Source organism: Homo sapiens, chromosome 6 (assembly GCF_000001405.40).
Source record: "Homo sapiens chromosome 6, GRCh38.p14 Primary Assembly".
Classification (NCBI taxonomy): Eukaryota; Metazoa; Chordata; class Mammalia; order Primates; family Hominidae; genus Homo; species Homo sapiens.
The window spans coordinates 76536460-76558484 of NC_000006.12; the positions used below are offsets into that span (position 1 = coordinate 76536460).

The following is a 22025-nucleotide window of genomic DNA, read 5'->3' on the forward strand; positions in this document are numbered from 1 at the left end:
TCCAGCTACAGGTTTATCAATTTTGTTTATCTTTTTGAGAAACCAACTTTTCGTTCCATTCATGTTTTATATAGATTTTTTTTTTTTTTTTTTTGAGACGGAGTTTTGCTCTTGTTGCCCAGGTTAGAGTGCAATGGCATGATCTTGGTTCACCACAACCTCTGCCTCCCAGGTTCAAATGATTCTCCTGCCTCAGCCTCCTGAGTAGCTGAGATTACAGTCATGCACCACAAGGCCTGGCTAATTTTTGTATTTTTAGTAGAGAGGGGATTTCACTGTGTTGGTCAGGTTGATCTCGAACTCCTCACCTCAGTTGATCCACCCATCTCGGCCTCCCAAAGTGTTATATTTAACATATATTTCTAGGTGTTATTAGAATTAACAACAATTAGAAAATAGATTTTTTTCTACTTTTTTGATGTAAGCATTTATTGCTATAAACTTCTCTCTTAGCAATGCTTTTGCTGTATCCCATAGGTTTTGTTACATTGTGTCTTCATTTCCATTTGTTTCAAGAAATTTTTTATTTCCGTCTTAATTTCTTCATTGACTCAATGGTTATTCAGGTGCATGTTTTTTAATTTCTGTGTATTTGCATAGCTTCCTAAGTTCCTCTTGGTATTGATTTCTATTTTATTCCATTATGGTCAGAAAAGATGCTGGCTACTATTTCCATTTTTAAAAATTTGTTGAGAGAAATTTTTGAACTTCCAGGTGGCTTGCTTGGATGTTGGTAGTTGAAGCAGTAGACCTGGTGGGTGGGTGAGGTAGGTCCCTAGGCAGCCTGTGTGTCATGGGCAATGGCAGTAGCCATGACAAGACAATTTATTGGGTCCTGAGCAGCGTGTTTTGATGTTGGCAGTGGCTGTGGTGGGTTGGGTATGCCAGTCTCCAGGCTCAGAGGTGGTGCTTGCAGGTAGGTGCCAGCTGAGGTAGTAGTAGCCGGGAATTTAGACCCAACTTCAGGTACCTAGAAGGAATGCTCAAGTGGTGGCTTGGGTTGGATTATCCAAGACCCTGGATTATGTGCTATGTCTCAGAGGGAAATGTGATGCCAGTTTTGACTTACTTGTGTTCAGGCTTCTCAATGGTGAGAGCACACACTAGCCATGATGTGTGGGAGAGAGTTGATTCTGAGGCTCCAGGCAGAGACCTAGGTTGATGGGCAATAGGAGCAGCACTGAGGCCATACCACTTGGGTGGGGCTTGCCTCAGTGTCCATAGCCTGGGCCAGTAGTGGGGGAATGCATATCCCTCTCTTGCCCCAGTTCTGGTGGGGTTCTCCCCAACTCCCCGCTATAGGAGCCCTCTTCCTGCTTTACAACTAAGTCGCAGCAGCATCTTGTGCCCCACTTGTGTCCCAGTTTCAGTCCTGTCAATGCTCGCATCCTAGCACTGGCAGCTGCAGCCCATGTCCCACTTGATTCTCAGCTTCTGCTGAGAAGTCTGTTCACAGCTCATCCCGCAGTCCCAGCAGCGACAGCCTGTGTTATTCTAACGCCTCTGTCCCCGGGACAACAGCCATAGAACATGAGTTTCCCTAATGCTGGGCCCTAGGACAAAGGCTGTGACTGAAAATGGCTCCTTGCTGTAGCTGCTTGGGTTTCAGAAAGGGTACGAGATCCAGCAGGAGATTCCCTCCTGGAGAAGTGCCATCTCATGGTCTCCTGGTAGCTCCCTGTATTAGTTTTAGATCTCGGGAGGGTGGAGGGGCTATTCTGTGGTCAGGATTACACAGTTCCACAGTGGGGATGTGGAATGCTGGAAGTCTTATCCCAAGGTTGGGAAGTCACTCTGGCTCCCAGCTGATCCTGGCCAAGCAGACTGTCTCTTTTTCTTCTCCTTCCTTGGTTTTGGTGTTTCCTGTCAGTTTTCTGTTAAATTCCAGTGTCCTTTCTCGGATAATTATTCAAAGTGTAGCTGTCTGTACACTATTTTGGTTCTTCTAAGTGGAGCAGGTGAGCATAAAATACTTCTAGACCGCTATCTTGAAGCTGAAATTCTAATTTTTTAAGGTCATAAAGTTTATTTAAGCCCTATGTAATTTTAGCATTAAAGTCATAAGTAGCAATCTATTAAAAGACAAAGGGCATTTGCTATTTTTATAACTACATTGCAGTATTCTTATAATATTTTATGTAATATTTTCAATAGCTAAATTTCAATAGGATTTATTATGCCAGTTTAGTTAAGTTCTTAGAGACTTTTACCTATACACAGTAATTATGCAAATTAATATTGCTTTGAGAATTGACCACTAACATTGATCACATGCAGTAATCAGTCATATAATGGATACAGAATAATTTGTCCTTTTGAGAGTTTCAGCTGACTTATCAAGGCACTTGATGTAATTTAATCCTGGTCAGCTGTATATATAACAGGGGCTGCTTTAAAGTAAGAAAATTTTAAAAGTGCCGCAGTTTTAATGTTCATCTTATTACCTAAGCAAATGTTCTTGCTGGTATTCCAATTGGAGTCTAACTTTTTGCTACTTTAAGACAAGGTTATTGAGGACTATGAGTAAGTGAAAATTAAGCTTATAATCCACACGGCCTCAAAGTTGTCCTTAGAAGGCTGATAATGACTGTCTTAGTCTATTCCTTTTCTTGGGGTGCTCAGGCTTGTCTGGCCAGGACATGGTCTGATGGGTTGGAGGGAGAAGTCCTCATCTAAGACTGTGGAAGATGACAAATAAATCACTTGGGTTCACTGGTCCTAAGTAACAAAGTGAACCAGGACTAAATTAAGCCAAAAAGAAGTTTCTTGTAAGGCTGGAGAACCAGGCTTAATGGACTACATTTATTGGGTGCTTAATAGGTGAAAAGAGCTGTTCTCAGTACTTGAATTGCCTCATTAAATCTTTACTATAAGCCTAAGATGTGTTTTATTGTTCTTGTTTACAGCTAAAGAAACGGAGGGACGGAGAATTAAGTAAATTGTTCAAGGGTACACAGCAAGTGCAGTACAGGCCCCAGGACAGGAACTAGGCTGCCCTGGGTGACTGTGCATAACTGCAATACTGTTCTGCCTGGGAGGAGCAGCTGGATCAAGAGCACACCAGACATTTTTAAATCTGTGGAGCTCTCTGTCCAAGATTCAAACCTCACAAAAGACATCTGTTGATGTGACTTGGGTCTTAGCTGATCAGTGCAAGGGACTTTGAAAGGATTCCTATAATAATATGCACAATGAGAGATGAATAATTTCCCAAAAGGAAATGGCAATGCTGTTAGGAAGGAGAATGGGTGATGCATGTTTTAGTCCTTTTAGTGCAATAACAAAATACAATAAATTAGGTAGCCTTATAAACAACAGAAATATATTTGAAGGCTGGGAAATTCAAGATGAAGGCAGATTTGTTGTCTGGTTAAAGTCTATTTTCTGATTTATTTATTTCACATTCTTATGCTGTCCTCACATAGTGGAAGAAGTGACTGAGCTCCCTTGGACCTCTTTTATAAGGTATAATCTCATTCATGAGGGCTCTCTGCCCTTGCGCCGTAGTCACCTCCCAGAATCCCTATCACCTAATACCGTCACCTTAGGGGGTTAGGATTTCAACATATGAATTTTGAGAGAACAAAAGTATTCAGGCCATAACACTGGGTAATCCTCTAGAAATCAAATCCCTTCTACACTAGAGGACTAATAAAACTAAAAATCAAGTCTTATCTCTTGCAATAAGGAAGAGTCAAGAAGGTTATCAGTACCAAGGAACTAAGAGAGGAGTAAGAAAGATTTTTTTTTGTTGTTGTTCTAAGGAAGATGTAAACAAGCATGAGATGAAGAGGATAAAGAGTTTCCTAAAACATCAGACTGTAGCCTACTTTTATAATACATGCTTAGTTTATAAGCTACCAAAAAAATTGAGGGGAACTGAACCCACACTGTAAATTAGAATGGTACAGAGTTTACTCCCCATTTAATTTAAACACATAATCAACTATAAACCATATAGAAGAGTATTCAAGTAGTGATTAATTTACATTCTTCCCTAGTTAAGAAAGTGTTGAAACCCTTAACAAGGCATATCTAGTTTAAGTGCTGTGTTACCCACATGGACATACTTGCTTATATCCTGTACCATCTTTTCTTTACAGAGGCTGAAATAAGAATGGATCCTACTTAGATACATCTATAAAAAAATGGTCACCCTGCTCTTGGAGTTCAGCAGTGGGCAGATCAGGTAAACGTTCCTTCTTCTCTTAACAAGGCTTCATGATGTTTGGTGTGTACCATGCCATTCATTAACAAAGGCCCAGAGGAAGCTTTGAAAATGGTGTGTGATCTAGCTGCTGTATCTGTTAATTCTTTCAATTCAATGTCTTAAAGTTGCCAAGGGGAACTTCAATGTGTAGATGAGAAAAGAGATGAGAATAGACAAGCTGAGAAAGGCCAAAAGGGGGCAGGGGATACAGGGAACACTGGCTAGAGAATTTTCATGAAATTCTCATCTGATGAATGATTGGTTGCCTCTAAAAGAAAAATTTGCTTATAAGGTGTACTTGTAATCAATTCTTTATATTTAACCAAAATGTTTGATAAATTTTGTTTATAATTTTATACATTGTAAAATTATAGGTTATCTTATACAAAATTCTTTTTTGCTTATTTTTGTCCTAATTTTAAGAATCCTAAGGGTAATTTTTGTTTTAATATATTACAGGAGGGTCATTTATTATTATATTCTAATATAACAATTGTATTATTTACTATAATGTTTATAGATTTGAATAGCTAATAGTTAGGTTTTTTAAATTAAAAGAAAAATGTAATACGATTTTCTGATTCTGGGCGTACTTTGCTAATTATATATAAGGTTACTTGTTTGTTAGCTTTGGCGTAGACCCACTAACTTTTGTTGTACTTGACTGAAGTTCCTCTGTAACAGGTAAAAAGGAAAGCAGGTTGTGAGTGAATGCTACGATTTCTCTGCAGTGCAGTTCACTTGTTTAAATAAATTACTTTTTTAAAGTGTTTTTGTTTATATGGACCTTGTTTGAGATAGAATATAGAGTGGCTTACTTGGGTATGATTCAATTTAAATTCAGTCTGCTATATTGTAAGCAGCTCTGATTTTTCATTATTTTCTAAATTAATTTATGGAGACACTAACTTTATGTTTGGGCATGGTAATCATAACATTTTGACAAAATAGTCTAACATCTTAATATCTACTGTGGGTAGTATTAGCTCTTTCATCCAGTTGAAAGAAACAAGACAAATCACAAAGATGAAAAAAGAAGATGGGTAACAGCTGGGATTGTGTGTGGAGAGCAAAACACGAAGGGACAGCAAAGCCATGCGCTGATACAGGAGGAGATGCAGAATTGATTCTTAATGTCCTATCTGGAAACGATTTTTGAAAATAAAATGAAATAAATTATGATGCTACCTTAGAATTCTTAGAAGAATAGGAAAGTTCTCTTTCTCATTCAGTAATGAGTGAATGAATGAGCTACTGCTATACTTTCCCCTTCTCAAACTTGAATAAAACCTACAGCTTCTATCTACACTTACTGTAATTTTACTTTATCTTCACTTTTCCCCTGAAATTGCTCCTGTCAAGGTCAGTAATTAGCTTCTTTTCATTAATAAATCCATCTGGATATTTAGCTTCGGCCTATTAGCTTCTCTATTACATTTGATTCTATTGGTTTCTGTGTGTTTTTAAAAGCACTTAAAAAATAAAAATTTGTTTTTTTGTTTAAAAATATTTCATACAAAAAAAGTCATATATACTAAAGGCATCATAGTAAAAAATCATCATAATAATAACGGTCCTGGTCACCACCCAGCAGTACCCTTCTCCACAACCCTCTAGAGGCAAACAACTTCTAACCTTTTAGATGTTTCCTTGGTACATACATTGTAATTGTAAGTAGTTTTCTTATTCGACAAGCTAAAAACTTAACTTTAGACTTTAATTTAAATTTTTTGTTCTGTGAGTATTTTAGTTTATACCTTCTCTTCCTCTAACCATCTCATCACGATATAATTATACATAAAATTTTGGATAGCATATTTAGTAACTTCACTGTTATACGATAATTTAAATAGTTTATTTCTATTCCAAATAGTGTCTATAATTTTGTTTTTTCTTATATAAGTTTATTAACAATGCCTCATTTTTTATTTTCTAATAGTTATTAGAATAACTATTTGCAGTATCATTTTTGTAAAATATTTTCCAATACGGTTTTCTATATGGACGAGTCTGCTAAATAACTTATCAGTTCAATCACTTTTTTTTCCTGGAGACATCTTCCTGGAACTCTCTGATCTCTTCTTCTATTCAGACCCACCAACTCTTTTGGCAGTGGTATAGCATTTGCCTTGGAAATTCTTGCCTTTCTGCCCCTTTGTTAGTCTTTCTTATTCTTGATTTACTCTTTTCTTGGTGGCAATGTTTTTCTAGTAGTTTCCTGAAAATAAATGGGCCCATGGCAAGCAAATATATAAGGATTTACCTATTGAAAAATGTTTTTATTTTATATATTCCCTTTACTAGTTAGTTTAAGTAAGGGAAGAAATCAATACTGAATCTCATTTTCACTTAGAATTTTGAAAGTATGGCTTCATTGTCTTCTGGCTTCTAATATGGCCTTTGAAAAGATGAGATTGGCATCTTTTATTTTTTCTATGTGACTTTAGTCCTCTCTTGGGAATATTTGAAGGCTTCCTTTTTATTATTTTATTTTGAATTTTTATGATAATGTGTCTCAATACAGTTATTTAGTGTAGGTTTAATTTTTTTCTTTCCAATTATTTGGGTACTTGGGTAGTCATTTTCTTATAGCTTAGAGGTTCCCAAGTTGTGGAAAATATAATTTTCTTATTTTTTCAGTGATTCCCTTTATTTTCATATCCGCTTTCTTATTCTCAAATTTCTATTGGTTTAATATTTTACATTCTGGATACTATCCTTTTCCCCCCTATTTTTATCTTGATTTTTCTCTTATGTTTTGGTGGATTTCCTCTCATATATTCCAAACCCTCCATTGAATCATCTTTTTAGTTATTAGTTATCAGAGTTTTTGAATAGATCTTTATTTTTCTCTGAATGTCCACGTGCCTTAGCAGTGCACCTGCAGCACTTAGAGATTTGATCCCAGCCTCATTTCCTGTCACATCTCTTCAAGCACACAATTATCTGTGTATACAGAAACTTAAGTCAGTCTCCTGAATATGCCATGATGTCTCATAACTTTGTGACTTTGTGTATGAGGACTAGCTTTTGGAAACACTCTTTGGCCGTCTTGTGGTTGAGCCTTCCCTTGTATCTTGGTCACATTACATTTCTTTCTTTGTGTTTGTCATTGACTATTTTAATACTTTTGTGGTTGTTGTTTTTGCCTTCTCCATTAGATTATGAGTTTCTTATGGACAGAAACTGAGCTCCATTTGTCACTGTATCCAACATGGCTTGCTAGTTTTTATCACATAATAGATGGTCAATAAGTATGTATAATATTGTTTACTGATTCCACAAGACACATGTACAAATTAAACCCATGCCATTAAAGTTTTACTTCATATACAGTCAGCTCTTTTGTGATTCAAATAGTATGGTTTATCACTTTCAGGGAATTAATATATCATTTAGAAAATAATAAACAGAGAGTAAAAATAATTTGTGAGACAGTAGCCATTTAACATAATTTGTGAAAAAAACATAAACACTGAATAATATAAATAAAAAATAGACTTTTTTGCTTTTAAAGGACATCTATGGCTCATATCAGATGATTGCTGAAATAGCAGTTCATCCACAATCTCACCTCTCATATTAAACTAGATAAACCTACTCTATTATTAATATTGAAAGAATTTAACTGATAGATACACTACTGTATGTGAATAACCCACTTTTTTTCCTTTGCTTGATGTCTAGATCCTATGTTGGATAACATTAAGCATTAAACAATGCAAAGTATAAATGAAATAAAAAGGGAGGCTGTAAAAATTAAGATTATAATGTGGTACACACAAAAGAGCTGTTTTGATCCATGATATATTTTAAAAAGATTAATGTTATTTTCCAGAGACAAAGTGCAAAAGAACTACTCTAAAATGTGATTTGGAGCTTGAATTTCTCTGAGTTATTTTGTTATAGCCTGTAATTTTTTTTTTTTTTTTTTTTTTTTTGACAGAGTCTCGCTCTGTCACCCAGGCTGGAGTACAGTGGTGTGATCTTGGCTTACTGCAACCTCTGCCTCCCAGGTTCATGCCATTCTCCTGCCTCAGCCTCCCAAAGTTTTTTAAATTTTAATTATTAAATGTTACTTTTAAGAGCAGTTTTAGATTCACAGCAAAATTGAACAGATAGTACAGAGAGTTAGAGAGTTCCTATATATCCGAATCCCTATGTCCTCTGTAAACAAAAATAGTTTTATTTCTTCCTTACCAATATGTAGACTTTTTATTTCTTGTTTGATTGCATTAGCCAAGACTTCCAGTACGGTGTTGAAAACCAGTGGTGTGAGGAGACATCCTTGGCTTGTTCTTCATCTTAGCAAGAAAGCTTGAAATCTCTCACCATTAAGTATGATGCTAGCTATACATCTTTTGTAGATATTCTTTATCAGGTTGAAGATGTTCCCTACTATTTCCAGTTTGCTGAGAACTTCTATCATGAATGGGTGTTGGATTTTGTTAAATGCTTTTTTCTACATCTATTCATATAACCATGTGAATTATCTTCCTTAGGCTATTGATATGATGGATTATATTTGTTGTTTTTTTAAAAATATATATTTATAACATTGACTGATTTTTGAATGTTGAACCAGCCTTGCATACCCGGAGTAAATCTCACTTGGTCACAATATAGAATTCTTTATATATATATATATATACATTGTTAGATTCCATTTGCTAACACTTTGTTGAGAATTTTTGCATCTATGTTCATGAGAGAAATTGGTCTGTAGCCTTCTTTTCTTGTAGGTTGTTTGTGTGGTTTAGATATTCTGGTAGTGCTTGCCTTATAGAATGAGTTAGGAAGTATTCCCTCTGCTTCTATATTCTGAAAGAGAATGTAGAGAATTGGTATAAAATCTTTCTTCAAGGTTTGGTTGAATTCATTAGGGAATTTATCTGAACCTGGGTACTCAATTTTAAAAGGTTATTAATTTTTTTTTCAATTTCTTTAATAGATATTGTTTGCTATATTCTGAATGTTTGTGTCCCCCAACCCCAGATTTATATGCTGAAATCCTAACTCCCAAGGTGTTGATATTAGGATATGTGGTCTTTGGAAAGTGACTGGGCCATAATGGCAAAGCCCTTATTAATAGAGTTGGTGCTCTCACAAAAGTGACTTCAGAGAGATCCTTTGCCCCTTTTGCCATGTGAAATTACAGTGAGAAGGTGGCCATCTAGACCCTCATCAGATACCAAATCTGCTGGCACTTTGATCTTAGACTTTCCAGCCTCCAGAACTGTGAGAATTTTTATTTGGAAGCCGCTCAATCTGTGGTGTTTTGTTACAAAAGCTAGAACAGACTAAGACATAGGACTATTCAGATCTTGTATAAGTCTTGGAAGACTGTATCTATCAAGAATTTGATCCATTTAATCTAGGTTATCAAATGTGTAGACATAGAGTTGCTTATGCTGTTCTTTTATTATCATTTTAATGTCCAGGGGATCTGTATTGATGTTGCCCTTTTCACTTCTGATGTTAGTGTTTTAGTTTTCTCTCTTGCTGTTTTAGTTAGCCTGGCTAGAGACCTATAAGTTTTATTAATCTTTTCAAAGATCCATCTTTTGGTTTCTTTGATTTTTCTCTATCGATTTTCTGGGGTTTTTTTCAGTTTAATTGATATATGTTCTAATTTTTATTATTTCTTTTCTTCTTCTTTGAATTTAATGTGTTCTTCTTCAACTAGATTTTTAAAGTAGAAGCTTAGATATTTGATTTTAGATATTTCTTCTTTTCAAATATGTGCCATCAATGTTATAAATTTCCCTCTAAGCACTGCTTTTGATGTATACCACAAATTTTGAATAAGTTGTATTTCCATTTTCCTTTAGTTTATAATATTTTAAAATTTCTCTGGAGTTTTTTTTTTTTTACTTATGTGTTATTTAGAAGTATGTTGCTTAATCTCCAAGTATTTGGGGACTGTGGTGGTTAATACCGAGTGTCAATTTGGCTGGATTGAAGGATGCAAAGTATTGATTTTGGGTGTGTCTGTGAAGGTGTTGCCAAAGGAGATTACCATTTGAGTCAGTGGACTGGGAGAGGCAGACCCACCTTCAATCCGAGTGGGCACTATCTAATTGTCTGCCAGTGTGGACAGAATAAAAAGCAGGCAGAAGAACGTGGGGAGATTAGACTGGCTTAGCCTCCCAGCCTACATCTTTCTCCTATGCTGGATGCTTCCTGCCCTCGAACATTGAACTCTAAGCTCTCCAGCTTTGGGACTTGGACTGACTTCCTTGCTCCTCAGCTTGCAGATGGCCTATTGTGGGACCTTGTGATTGTGTGAGTTAATACTCCTTAATAAACTCATATATATCTCCTATTATATATATATAATATATATATTATATATATCATATATATCATATATCATATCATATATATATGATATATCATATATATCATATATCATATCATATATATGATATATCATATATATCATATATCATATCATATATATGATATATCATATATATCATATATCATATCATATATATGATATATCATATATATCACATATCATATATATATCATATATATCACATATCATATATATATCATATATATCATATATCATATATCATATCATATATATATGATATATGATATATCATATATATATGATATATCATATATCATATATCATCATATATATGATATATGATATATGATATATCATATATCATATCATATATATGATATATGATATATATATCATATATATATGATATAGCATATATATATCATATATATATCATATATATATTCTATTAGTTCTGTCCCTCTAAAGAACCCTGACTAATACAGGGACTTTCCAGCTATCTTTCTGTTATTGATTTCTAGTTTAATTACACTGTGGTCTAAGAGCAGACATTGTATGACCTATTTTTAAAATTTTGTTAAGATGTATTTTATGACTTAGAATGTGGTCTATCTTGATGAATGTTTCATGTGATCTTGGAGAAGAATGTATAGTATGCTGCTGTTGGTGAAATAGTTTATAAAAGTCATTTATATTCAGTTGATTGGTGGTGGTGTTGAGATTCTTTCTTCAGCTGTGTCTGGTCTACTAATGAGCTTATCAAAGGCATTCTTCATTCTGTTACAGTTTTTTATCTCTGGCATTAGTTTTTGATTCTGTCTTGGAGTTTTCATCTCTTTTCTTATAATGCCATCTGTTCTTGCATGTTTACTTTTTCAGTAGAAATCTTAGCATATTAATCACAGTTGTTTTATATTCTCAATCTGATAATACCAACATATCTGCCATATCTCACTCTGGCTCTGAGGTTTGTTCACTTTCTTTAAGCTATTTTTTGCCTTTTAGTATGCCTTGTAATTTTTGTTGAAATCCGGACCTGATGTACCGGGTGAAAAGAACTCTGGTAGATAGACTTTTAGTGGTATGACACGAAGATGTGGGAGGAGAAAAAGCATTTTATAGTCCTATGATTAGATCTTAGTCTTTTTGTGAGCCTGTGACTAGACTGTGAGCTTCAACAGTGTTTCTCAGTACCTCCAACCCTTAAGTGGGACAGGATGGCTAGAGGGGTTTGGAATTTGGCATTTCCTTTCCTCATGTGGAAGCATAGAGGGAGCTAAATTTGGGTATTTCCTTTCCCCCATGTGGAAGGCCAGATGATGTTAGGTATTTTCCTTCCTCTAGATAGATTAGAGTCTGATAAAACCCTGCCAGGTTAGGCTGTCATAAAATAGTTTCTCCAGAGGGCAGGCCTTGTTAAGATAAACAGAATACTCTGCTGTATTTCAAAATGGTTTATTAAAATAGATATGATAATAGCAATGCCTCATAAAGTTGTTGTAAGGATTAAATATGTTGATACATTTAAGAATAGTGACTGCTACATAATAAGTTCTAATATCTGATATACTTAGATTTTCAATGACTTCCTTGCTAGTTAATTAACTGTACTATGTACTTTCGTGTATGGATGTGAGATTTCACAATTAACAACGTTGATTGTGGCAAACTGAGAGTCTGGGAATTATGTCATTGTATTGTTTCATGCAAAAATCATTTTGTTATATACAAATAATGTGAGTAAATTTAATAAGTGCTGGTAACATGATGGCACAATCTCAGATATTATTCTTAATAAAATTAAATAACTCATGGCTTATGTATCGACCTAGAAATGTTGGCCTGGACTAAAAATCCCTATTTTTGCTATTTCTACTTCAGTGAGACATGCAATTTAGAGAATACTTGTTTTTATTTCAAAGAAAACATACAAACAACAGGGTGTGTGTGTGTGTCTGTGTGTGTGTGTGTGCATTTATACAAATATAAAAATAGAAAAGAAAGTAACTACTGGGATAAACAGCAGCCAAATAATTGAGAGTTAGCTAATTTATTTATGTAATTCACTGCATAATAAGCCAAAATATATTAAATCAGATTGCTCCTGAGCTATTCCTTCAAAGATGATAGAGGATGGTTTTTGGAAAGACAGATTGTAACAATACATGTATCTCTGGACAATCCACATTATTATTATTATTATTTTTGGAATCTAACCAAGAAGTAACTCTTCCTGGTTAATCATGCCTTAGAATTACTCTTCTTTAACCCATCAGGTGAATAATGTACAGAGAGCACTGAACTGGCAAATGAAGACCTGGAAGATCCCACATTAACAGCCAGCATTTTGTGGAGCAAACTGGATAAAGCAGGACTCAGCAGATAATTCCATTCTTCACCAATTATCCTTTTCTTAACTCAATCCTCCCTGATTCTTGTTTCCTCACTGCTCTCCCAATGAGACACCTCTGGTCTCCACCTTACCACCTGCTCCCTTATCAGTACTCATCTCACGTGACCTCTCAGCAGCTTTATCAGTTCAGTTTGGCCTTCTTGAAACACTGTCATCTCCAGTCCTCTCTGATACCATCCCCGTGAATTTCTTCATGCTGCACTCCCACTTATCTTCTTGGCCTCATTGCTGGTTCCTCTTCCTTTGTCTTATGTGTTTTGAGTTTCCTAATTCCTCTTCTCTATCTGCATACTCTTCCTAGGTTAAGGTATCATTTTTGTGTTGACGTTTCACAAATGTCTATGTCCGGCCTTAATATTTTCTCTTAGACTCTATTTAAAATAAGTGGTAGATGTCTAATTGGGATGTTAAACTTAAATATATCCATAGGACTTTTGATTTCTCACCCCACCTTCAACCCTCATTCCTCATTATCTCAATAATGACAATACCTACCATCAAATTACTTAGATCCAGCTCCTTTTTTAAACTTTCATTTTAGATTCTGGGGTACCTGTGCAGGTTTGTTATCTATGTACACTCATGTCACAGGGATTTGTTGTACAGATTATTTTGCCATCCAGATACTAAGCCTAGTACCCAATAGTTTTTTCTTCTGATCCTCTCTCTCCTCCCACTCTCCATCCTCAGGTAAGCACCAGTGTCTGTTATTCCCCTCTTTGTGCGTTCGCACTCTTAAGAAGCATTCTCATTTGCAGGGATATGGATGAAGCTGGAAACCGTCATTCTCAGCAAACTAACACAAGAACAGAACACCAAACACCGCATGTTCTCTCTCGTAAGTGAGAGTTGAACAATGAGAACATGTGGGCACAGGGAGGGGAACATCACACACCGGGCCTGTCGGTGGGGGTGGGGGCCTAGGGGAGGGATAGCATTAGGAGAAATACCTAATATAGATGACGGATTGAGAGATGCAGCAAACCACCACGGCATGTGTATACCTATGTAGCAAACCTGTACGTTCTGCACATGTATCCCAGAACTTAAAGTATAATAAAAAAAGAAGCACTCTTGATTCCTCAGTTTTCTTTATACCCCATTTCTCATTTGTTATCAAGTCAGTAACACCTGCTGAAACTTCCTGAATATGACCCTTCTCTCTACTATTCTATACCCATCCAAGCTTCCAAGCTTTCTTACATTTTTCTACTGTGAATTCTTCATCCAGCCTTCAAAATGCTCTTGTAATCTTAAATGAGATCATATCCCTCTTTTTCTTAAGAGAATATGGTGAGAATTAAGTAACAAATGTGAATATGGTGTACAGGCCTCTGTCTTACCTGCACAGTGCCTATAGCTCACTTTCATATGCTCCAGATGAAATGGTCTTCTTTCCTCCTTTCAAATATACCAAACTTCCAGGACTTTTCATTTGCACTTCTCTATGCCTATAAACTTCTTCCAGATTTTTTTTTTTAATTTTCTTTGAGATGGAGTCTCACTCTGTTGCCCAGGCTGGAGTGCAGTGGCATGATCTCTGCTCACTACAACCTCTGCCTCCTGGGTTCAAGCAATTCTCCTGCCCCAGCCTCCCGTGTAGCTGGGATTACAGGCACATGCAACCATAGCTGGCTAATTTTTGTATTTTTAGTAGAGACAGAGTTTCACCATGTTGGCCAGGCTGGTCTCGAACCCCTGACCTCAAGTGATCCACCCACCTCGGCCTCCCAAAGTGCTGGGATTACAGGTGTGAGCTACTGCACCTGGCCTTCTTCCAGATTTTTAAAAGATTATCTCCTTTTCATTTAGTCCTCAGCTTAAATGTCATCTCTGCAAAGTGGTCTTCTAGCCTGGCTAAAGAATCCAACCTTCACTCCTACTATTTAACCTCCTTTTTTATTTCTTCATGGCACTATTATTATCTCTGATGAGCATGAAAAACAAACTCCACTAAAATATAAGCTTGATGAGGAGAGGAATTTGACAACTTTTTAATGTTGTAGTTAGAACCTAGAATAGTGTGCAGCAAGAGCAGATATTTGATAAATATCGGGTGAATGAATGAACTGATAAAAATTCAGTTCTTGAAGAATGCATTTGATGAATAACAAATTGAATCAATAATAAAGGACTTGTATAAAAAAGTAAGATATTATGGCCCAGATAGCATTAGGAAAGAAGCCACTGGAATTAGAGAATTGAGAGAATAGAACAAGGCTATGCTTTCACTCATAATTGTTTAAAATGATTAATAATATGAAGAGGAGCTGAATCTTGGTATTAGAATCCCTGTATTATTTGTTGTATATAAACTTAATCAATGATATATAAGGCAGAATAAATAATTCCTAACATTTGTTTTGTCGTCTTTAAGGAATCCACAGTTAGAGAATTTTTTCAATGATTATTAATGTGGATACTGTACTTGGTATATCCTGTCTATATGCACAAAACAAGGTAAGCGATGCGATGCTGTTTTTGGAATTCTGTCTTCACAAATTTCATTGCTATCAGAGTCTACTCTGATAGATATGAATATTAAAGGACATTTGGCAAAAATAATAAGACCATAACATTAATAATACTAATTTTAGTAGAAAGTGCTCCCCCCAGCCAACCCTACATCTGTATCTATATCTATCTATATACATTCTGCTCTATTTACTTATTTTCCAAAACATTGAAAGCCTTTGAATCGTCAAAACAGGTGTGCTGGAAACCCAGATATGCTATCTCAGTTTTCGAAAAGAGAGGAATATTTAGCTCAACAAGATTTGAATGTGAGAGTTTAAAGAGGACATCACTCCCTAAGGGACAGGGTGGATTTACTAAGAAGGCACACTTTGATAAAACGCATTTCTTTCGGTGAAGTAGTTTCTCATGGTAGTACAAGTAATATAGCAAATTCTAATGTCAGTAACAATTTGACAAATGTTAAATATCATATCTCATGGAAAAATACATGTATAATACTTGATAGGAAATTAAGTGAATTCTTAATCAGTGAAACCGCGGCACTTGAAGAGTCCTACTGATTATACTGTCATCAGCCTGCGGGACATAGATGTCTGGTGGTATGTTGTTGAGTTATTCTATTAATATCACTGACTTGAATGTTGACACAGAAATAATTCTTTCTAAGTTTGTAGAAAGCATGAAGCTGGGAGTATTACAAATATGTTTAGTGACAGAATCATCATCTAACATGACCTCTATATGTTGCAAAACAGTTCTTTAACAAAATGAAACTTACTTGGAAAAAAACCTGAAGTACTACATTTAACTTTTTTAGGAAAAATGTCATCTTTATTTCATATAGAAAAATTTTGTCTATAAAATCAACATGAACCAACAGTTTTGTTTACTAAATAAATATTTATTATGTACCTATATGTGCTTACCTTTTAAAATCCTTTATGGATTTACTTTTTGGTTAATTTTTCCTTTTTTTATGGTTAAATTATTCCTGTTACTATGTGTTCAGTTCTCAGAACTCACTCTAAAATTGTGATACACAAATTAGGGTTCATAGAATGGGGGAAGATTCTGACAATTTTAATTTATAAAAAATGATGTAAAATTCTGAGAGGATGACTTGGAAAAAAGACAATTTATTAGGTTGGTGCAAAAGTAATCAAGAGTTTTGTCATTATTTTCAATATAAAGTGTTACTAATTCTAAAATGGACTGCAGATAAAAATGGATTTATTTGTGGCTCCAGTGGGAAGGATCAGGACCAATGGACAGGAGTTACACAGAAATAAGTTTTAACTCAAGAATAACCTTTTATCTTTAAGGACTTTCTGGAAAATAAAATGTATTGCTTTACTGAGATTTTTCAAACACTGGGAAATGTTCAAAGAGAGATAGAATGTCCAATTGTAATGAATGTTGACTACAGGATGGATGCACAGGTTTAATTTGCTTCCCAACATTCATATTTACTGCATCCATCTTAACTTTTAGAACTACCTACTCTTGGCAAAATCTCTGTAATTCTTTTCAACTGAAGACAAAGTCATCTGTAATGCTTTCTCTTGGCTCCCCAAATATTCTGGCTCTACTCCTGGTTTCCATCAGACTGTAAAATGTAAATGCTCAGAAAATGCACCTGCAATTTCTTAAATTACTATTTTTGAATGTTGTTTTCATTTTTCTCTTATGTTTATGTAATTTGAGCTTTGAAAATTTCTGGTAATAATTTGTAATGACCTGAAGGGTTTTACATTTTCTATTAATTTTACAATATGTTGGCCAGGTACAGTGGCTCATGCCTGTAATCCCAGATATTTGGGAAGCCAGGGCGGGCAGATCACAAGGTCAGGAGATCAAGACCATCCTGGCTAACATGGTGAAACCTCATCTCTACTAAAAACACAAAAAATTAGCCAGGTGTGGTAGCACATGCCTGTAGTCCCAGCTACTCGGGAAGCTGAGGCAGGAGAATCGCTTGAACCTAGGAGGCGGAGATTACAGTGAGCTGAGATCGTGCCACTGCACTCCAGCCTGGGCAACAGAGCGAGACTCTGTCTAAAAAAAAAAAAAAAGTACATTTTGATAGCATTAAATTATAGATAGCATTAAAAATATTTTCCAATACACAATGTAAATATTTTAAAGACATATTTCTCTAGTGTTTTTTGGGGAAAATTGTACACTAATAAGTCAATTCCTTTTCTTGCCTACATGTATTTCTTCTGCATGAAGAATGTATACAATATTGATGTTATATTAGCCCTGCCACCTCTGTTACAATTATTTTAGCCTTTATAGAACTGTGTATTTTTTTTTCTTTTTCTTTTTCTTTTTTTTTTGAGATGGAGTCTCACTCTGTTGCCCAGGCTGGAGTGCAGTGTTGCGATCTCAGCTCACTGCAACCTCCGCCTCCTGGGTTTAAGCGATTCTCCTGCCTTAGCCTCCTTAGTAGCTGGGACTACAGGAGCATGCCACCATGCCTGGCTAATTTTTGTATTTTTAGTAGAGACAGGGTTTCACCATGTTGGCCAGGATGGTCTTGATCTCCTGACCTCATGATCCACCCGCCTCGACCTCCCAAAGTGCTGGGATTACAGGCATGAGCCACTGCACCTGGCCAGACGGGTGGAATAAGTAAATGCAGTTACTTTAGCATGATCAAACACATAGGCAAGTCTTATCTTAGTCTGCTTGCTCAGGCTTCTTTAAGATGGGTCCATGGGAAGGCTTTTGGGAGCACAGAAATCTATTTACATATTTAGGGCATATGAATTTACATAGTAACATCACATGTGCAAAAACTGTAATGTTCTTTGTTTCTCCATATCTGGACTTGATTTAACATATAAGCCCACATTTCTGCTTCATAGCAGAAAACTTAAACTCACCAAGTCAAGACAACTTAGTCAGTTTTGGTTTAAAACTTTGTGTCCTTTAGATAAAGTCAGGATTCCTTTCTTCTCTTCCTTTACTACCCTTTTAAGTGATGTAAGAATCTTGGAGGCTGAGGTAACAACTGACTTTTCTGGTCTGGGAGCCCTGAAATTATTTATCAATTTTTGCATATAAAATATTTTTATCTTGATTATTGTTAAGCTTCATCTTTTCTTTGTTCTGTATTTACACCAGTATCTTCATTCAAGTTGAGTGTGATGCACTTAAAACCTTTCAAGGGCTTTCTTATTTTTCTTGGGATGAAGACAAATCTTGATAGAACACTCACTATGTATTTAACATAGTTCATGGCTGAACTGTTTAAAATGGTCAAAATTTAAATTACATCAAAGTATAGCATGGCACACCCTGAGTTACTTGGAATGATTCAGCCAAACTAGAACAGATCAGATATCATGGTGCAAGAAAATGGGGCAGGCTGGTGGGTGGTCTCTTTAGCTTCAAGTGCAAGCTCCATGTGGCTCCTCCTACCTAATCCTGCAGAGAAAGTAGCTCTAATAGAGAGAATACAGATGCAAAGGCAATGTAAACAGAGCACCAGATGTCACAGAGAGAAAGCACTCCCACACCCAAAAGACACTCATGAGATTTCCAAGTAAAATCGACAGCCAGAAACCTTCATAAATTATTAGCAGAAGGAAAGCATTATGTTGAAATCAATGGATAAAGAGAAAATTCTTGGCCGGGTGCGGTGGCTCATGCCTGTGATCCCAGCACTTTGGGAGACCGAGGCAGGTAGATCACGAGGTCAGGAGTTTGAGACCAGCCTGACCAACATGGTGAAACCCTGTCTCTACTAAAAATACAAAAATTAGCCGTATGTGTTGGTGCACGCCTGTAATCCCAGCTACTCAGGAGGCTGAGGCAGGAAAATCGCTTGAACTCTGGAGGTGGAGGTTGCAGTGAGCTGAGATCATGCCACTGTACTCCAGCCTGGGCAACAGAGCAAGACTCCAACTGAATTAAAAAAAAAAAAAAAAGAGAGACAAAATTCTTAAGTATTGAGAAAGTACATTTGTTAGACCCTCCTTCTTGTTATATTTATTTTGAATCCCCATCCCCATGGTCCATATTCCTCTATAGATTCTCATTTTCATGTGTTTCATACATATCATTTAATATGAATGTATCTCAGTCAAAATATTTGGTATTCCATTCATATTTGTGTATACACATGATTTTATTTACATAAATATTAGGCTGCAGATCTTTCTGTTTCTATGCAATCTCACTTGCAATCCTTATCCATGTTGCTCTTTTTACTGCTATATCTTTGCTGCTGGTAGCTGAATACTATGTATACGTGATATATATAGTATGTATCTACCAAATTTGATGTATTCATTTCCCTTGAAATGACTAGTTGGGCTGTCTGTGACTTCCCATGACCACAACGTACAATGTACATTGAAATAAACATTGTTGAAAAAACATGTTTTTCAAGGAGCACATGAGAATTTCCTTAGAATACATACATACTAAAAAATGAAACTACTGAATTTTGTTTTACACATACCTAATCTAATTGATTTAGTTGAGCTGGATTGCTCTGGAGAATGGCTATAACAGTTTGTGCCCATTAATGATGGTTTAAATTTTTCCACGCATCGGTTCTTTGTCATCACTTGGTGTTAGCTCACTTTATTTTTTGACAATATGATGAAGTAAAATTGTGTCTTATTGATGTTTTAACATACATTTACTGATTACTTGTGTTATTAAACATCTTTATATACTTATAAACCATTCAAGTTTCTCCTTCTAGTAATTGACTTTACGTATCTATTGAACATTTACTTTTGGGTTACTTTTTTTTCTTATCTATTTCAATTAATTATTTATATATCATACATAAAACAATCAGGTATTAGTTTGGGAAATATAAATAACTTTCCCAGTCTGTCTTTTGTCTACTGTGGTTATCTATATAATCTTTCTTTGAGAAGAGTAGTTCTTATTTTTATTTATGTAATCAATCATCAATTGTTAAGTCTGTCTTTTGTCTACTGTGGTTATCTATATAATCTTTCTTTGAGAAGAGTAGTTCTTATTTTTATTTATGTCATCATTCATCAATTGTTAAATTTACACTTTTGAATTTTGAATTTAGGAAAGTCTTCCTTTGTTTAAAGAATGATATTCTATGTTATCTTCTATTAATACTATATTTTATCATTCTACATTTAAGTTCTTATCAAATGGGAGTTATATATAATATGAGGAATTAAACAAACTTTATTTTCTTCCTTAGTAATTCTTTTCCCAAAATAATCTGCTAACCAAATCATTTTTTCCTTTCTAATTTGTAGTGTCATTTCTATTAAGTATTAATTGCCCACATTTAGTGGGTTGTTTTAGTGTGAAGTTCTCCAAAGTGAATCCTCAGGCAAGCATTTGATTACACATAGTTTATTTGGATACAGGTGCATTTTGAATGTAGCTACTATAAATGAGTACCTTCATTTTTCTAAGAGATAGTTGGCTGGGCTCAATGGCTCACGCCTGTAATCCCAGCACTTTGGGAGGCCAAGGCGGGCAGATCACGAGGTCAGGAGTTTGAGACCAGCCTGGCCAATATGGTGAAACCCCGTCTCTACTAAAAATACAAAAATTAGCTGGGCATGGTGGCATATGCCTGTAGTCCCAGCTATTCGGGAGGCTGAGACAGAAGAATCACTTGAACCAGGGAGGCGGAGGTCGCAGTGAGCTGAGATCGCGCCACTGTACTCCAGCCTGGGTGACAGAGACTCTGTCTCAAAAAAAAAAAAAAAAAAAGATAGTTTTTTTTTTATATATATATATTTTAAATGTTAAACATATGGAACACTTCATGAATTGGCGTGTCACCCCTCTGCAGAGGCCATGCTAATCTTCTCTGTATTGTTCCAATTTTAATATGCGCCGCCGAAGCAAGTATTATTTTTTTCTCTTTTCTCTTTCCTCCTTTTCCCCACTTCTTACTTAGTGCTTTAGAAATGCAATTAAAACCTTTTACCTCTCCTTCACCAGATACTCCTTACAGGGCAAGCTTATCTAACTATATCCTTAGAGCTCCAGAACAGTACTCTCTCCCACCAGGAGATTGCCTCAAGAGACAACAGCCAATTTACAACACAAAATATGCCCACTATGAAACTCTCTCTCACCTGGAGATTTTTGGCCACTCTTACAACCTAATTCTGCCCATGAAGGCACCAGTGGTCGCTAGCTTGAGCACCCGGTAGACAAGGCACTGAAGCAAGTGTGGACTCCCATCTCCCCTGCATAACTTTCATGCAGACTCCTTTTAAAAGTGCCTGCTTTCTACTCCAAAAGCAAAGCAATACTCTTAAAGAAGGAAGTCAGTACTTATTCCCCTAAGCTAGCTTGGGAATAAAAAGTCACTTTCTTTATATCAGACCTTGCTCTTATTAACTGGACTCTGCAAGTGGTGAGCAACTGAACCTACATTTCATTTATACTACCACTTTAATCCCAGTAGTAAACTCTGGGAGCCAGAGTAGATACAGGAATTGGTACACCCAGAGTAAGGAATCCAGGGGTGTAGGTACACCAAACCAATGGAATGCTGATAAATGGTTAACAACTGCCTTTCAGGAAACAAACAGTTCATAGCATTTGTGATATCTGCAGTGTAAATATCC

The 22025-nt window shown here is 35.8% G+C and overlaps 1 long non-coding RNA gene and 1 pseudogene across 1 annotated transcript in view, besides 1 other annotated feature; both read right to left on the reverse strand.

The window, feature by feature from the left end:
• Nucleotides 1-22025, reverse strand: part of LINC02540 (long intergenic non-protein coding RNA 2540) — a 71176-nt gene that overhangs the window by 14012 nt on the left and 35139 nt on the right. The window lies entirely within an intron of this gene.
• Nucleotides 18592-19136: an enhancer, noted in NCBI's record as "OCT4-NANOG hESC enhancer chr6:77264768-77265312 (GRCh37/hg19 assembly coordinates)". NCBI's record gives its function as "activates a minimal SCP1, AML or CMV promoter by ChIP-STARR-seq in primed H9 embryonic stem cells {active_cell/tissue: H9 hESC(primed)}" and the evidence as "EXISTENCE:reporter gene assay evidence [ECO:0000049][PMID:30033119]".
• Nucleotides 21194-21295, reverse strand: RNU6-84P (RNA, U6 small nuclear 84, pseudogene; annotated as a pseudogene).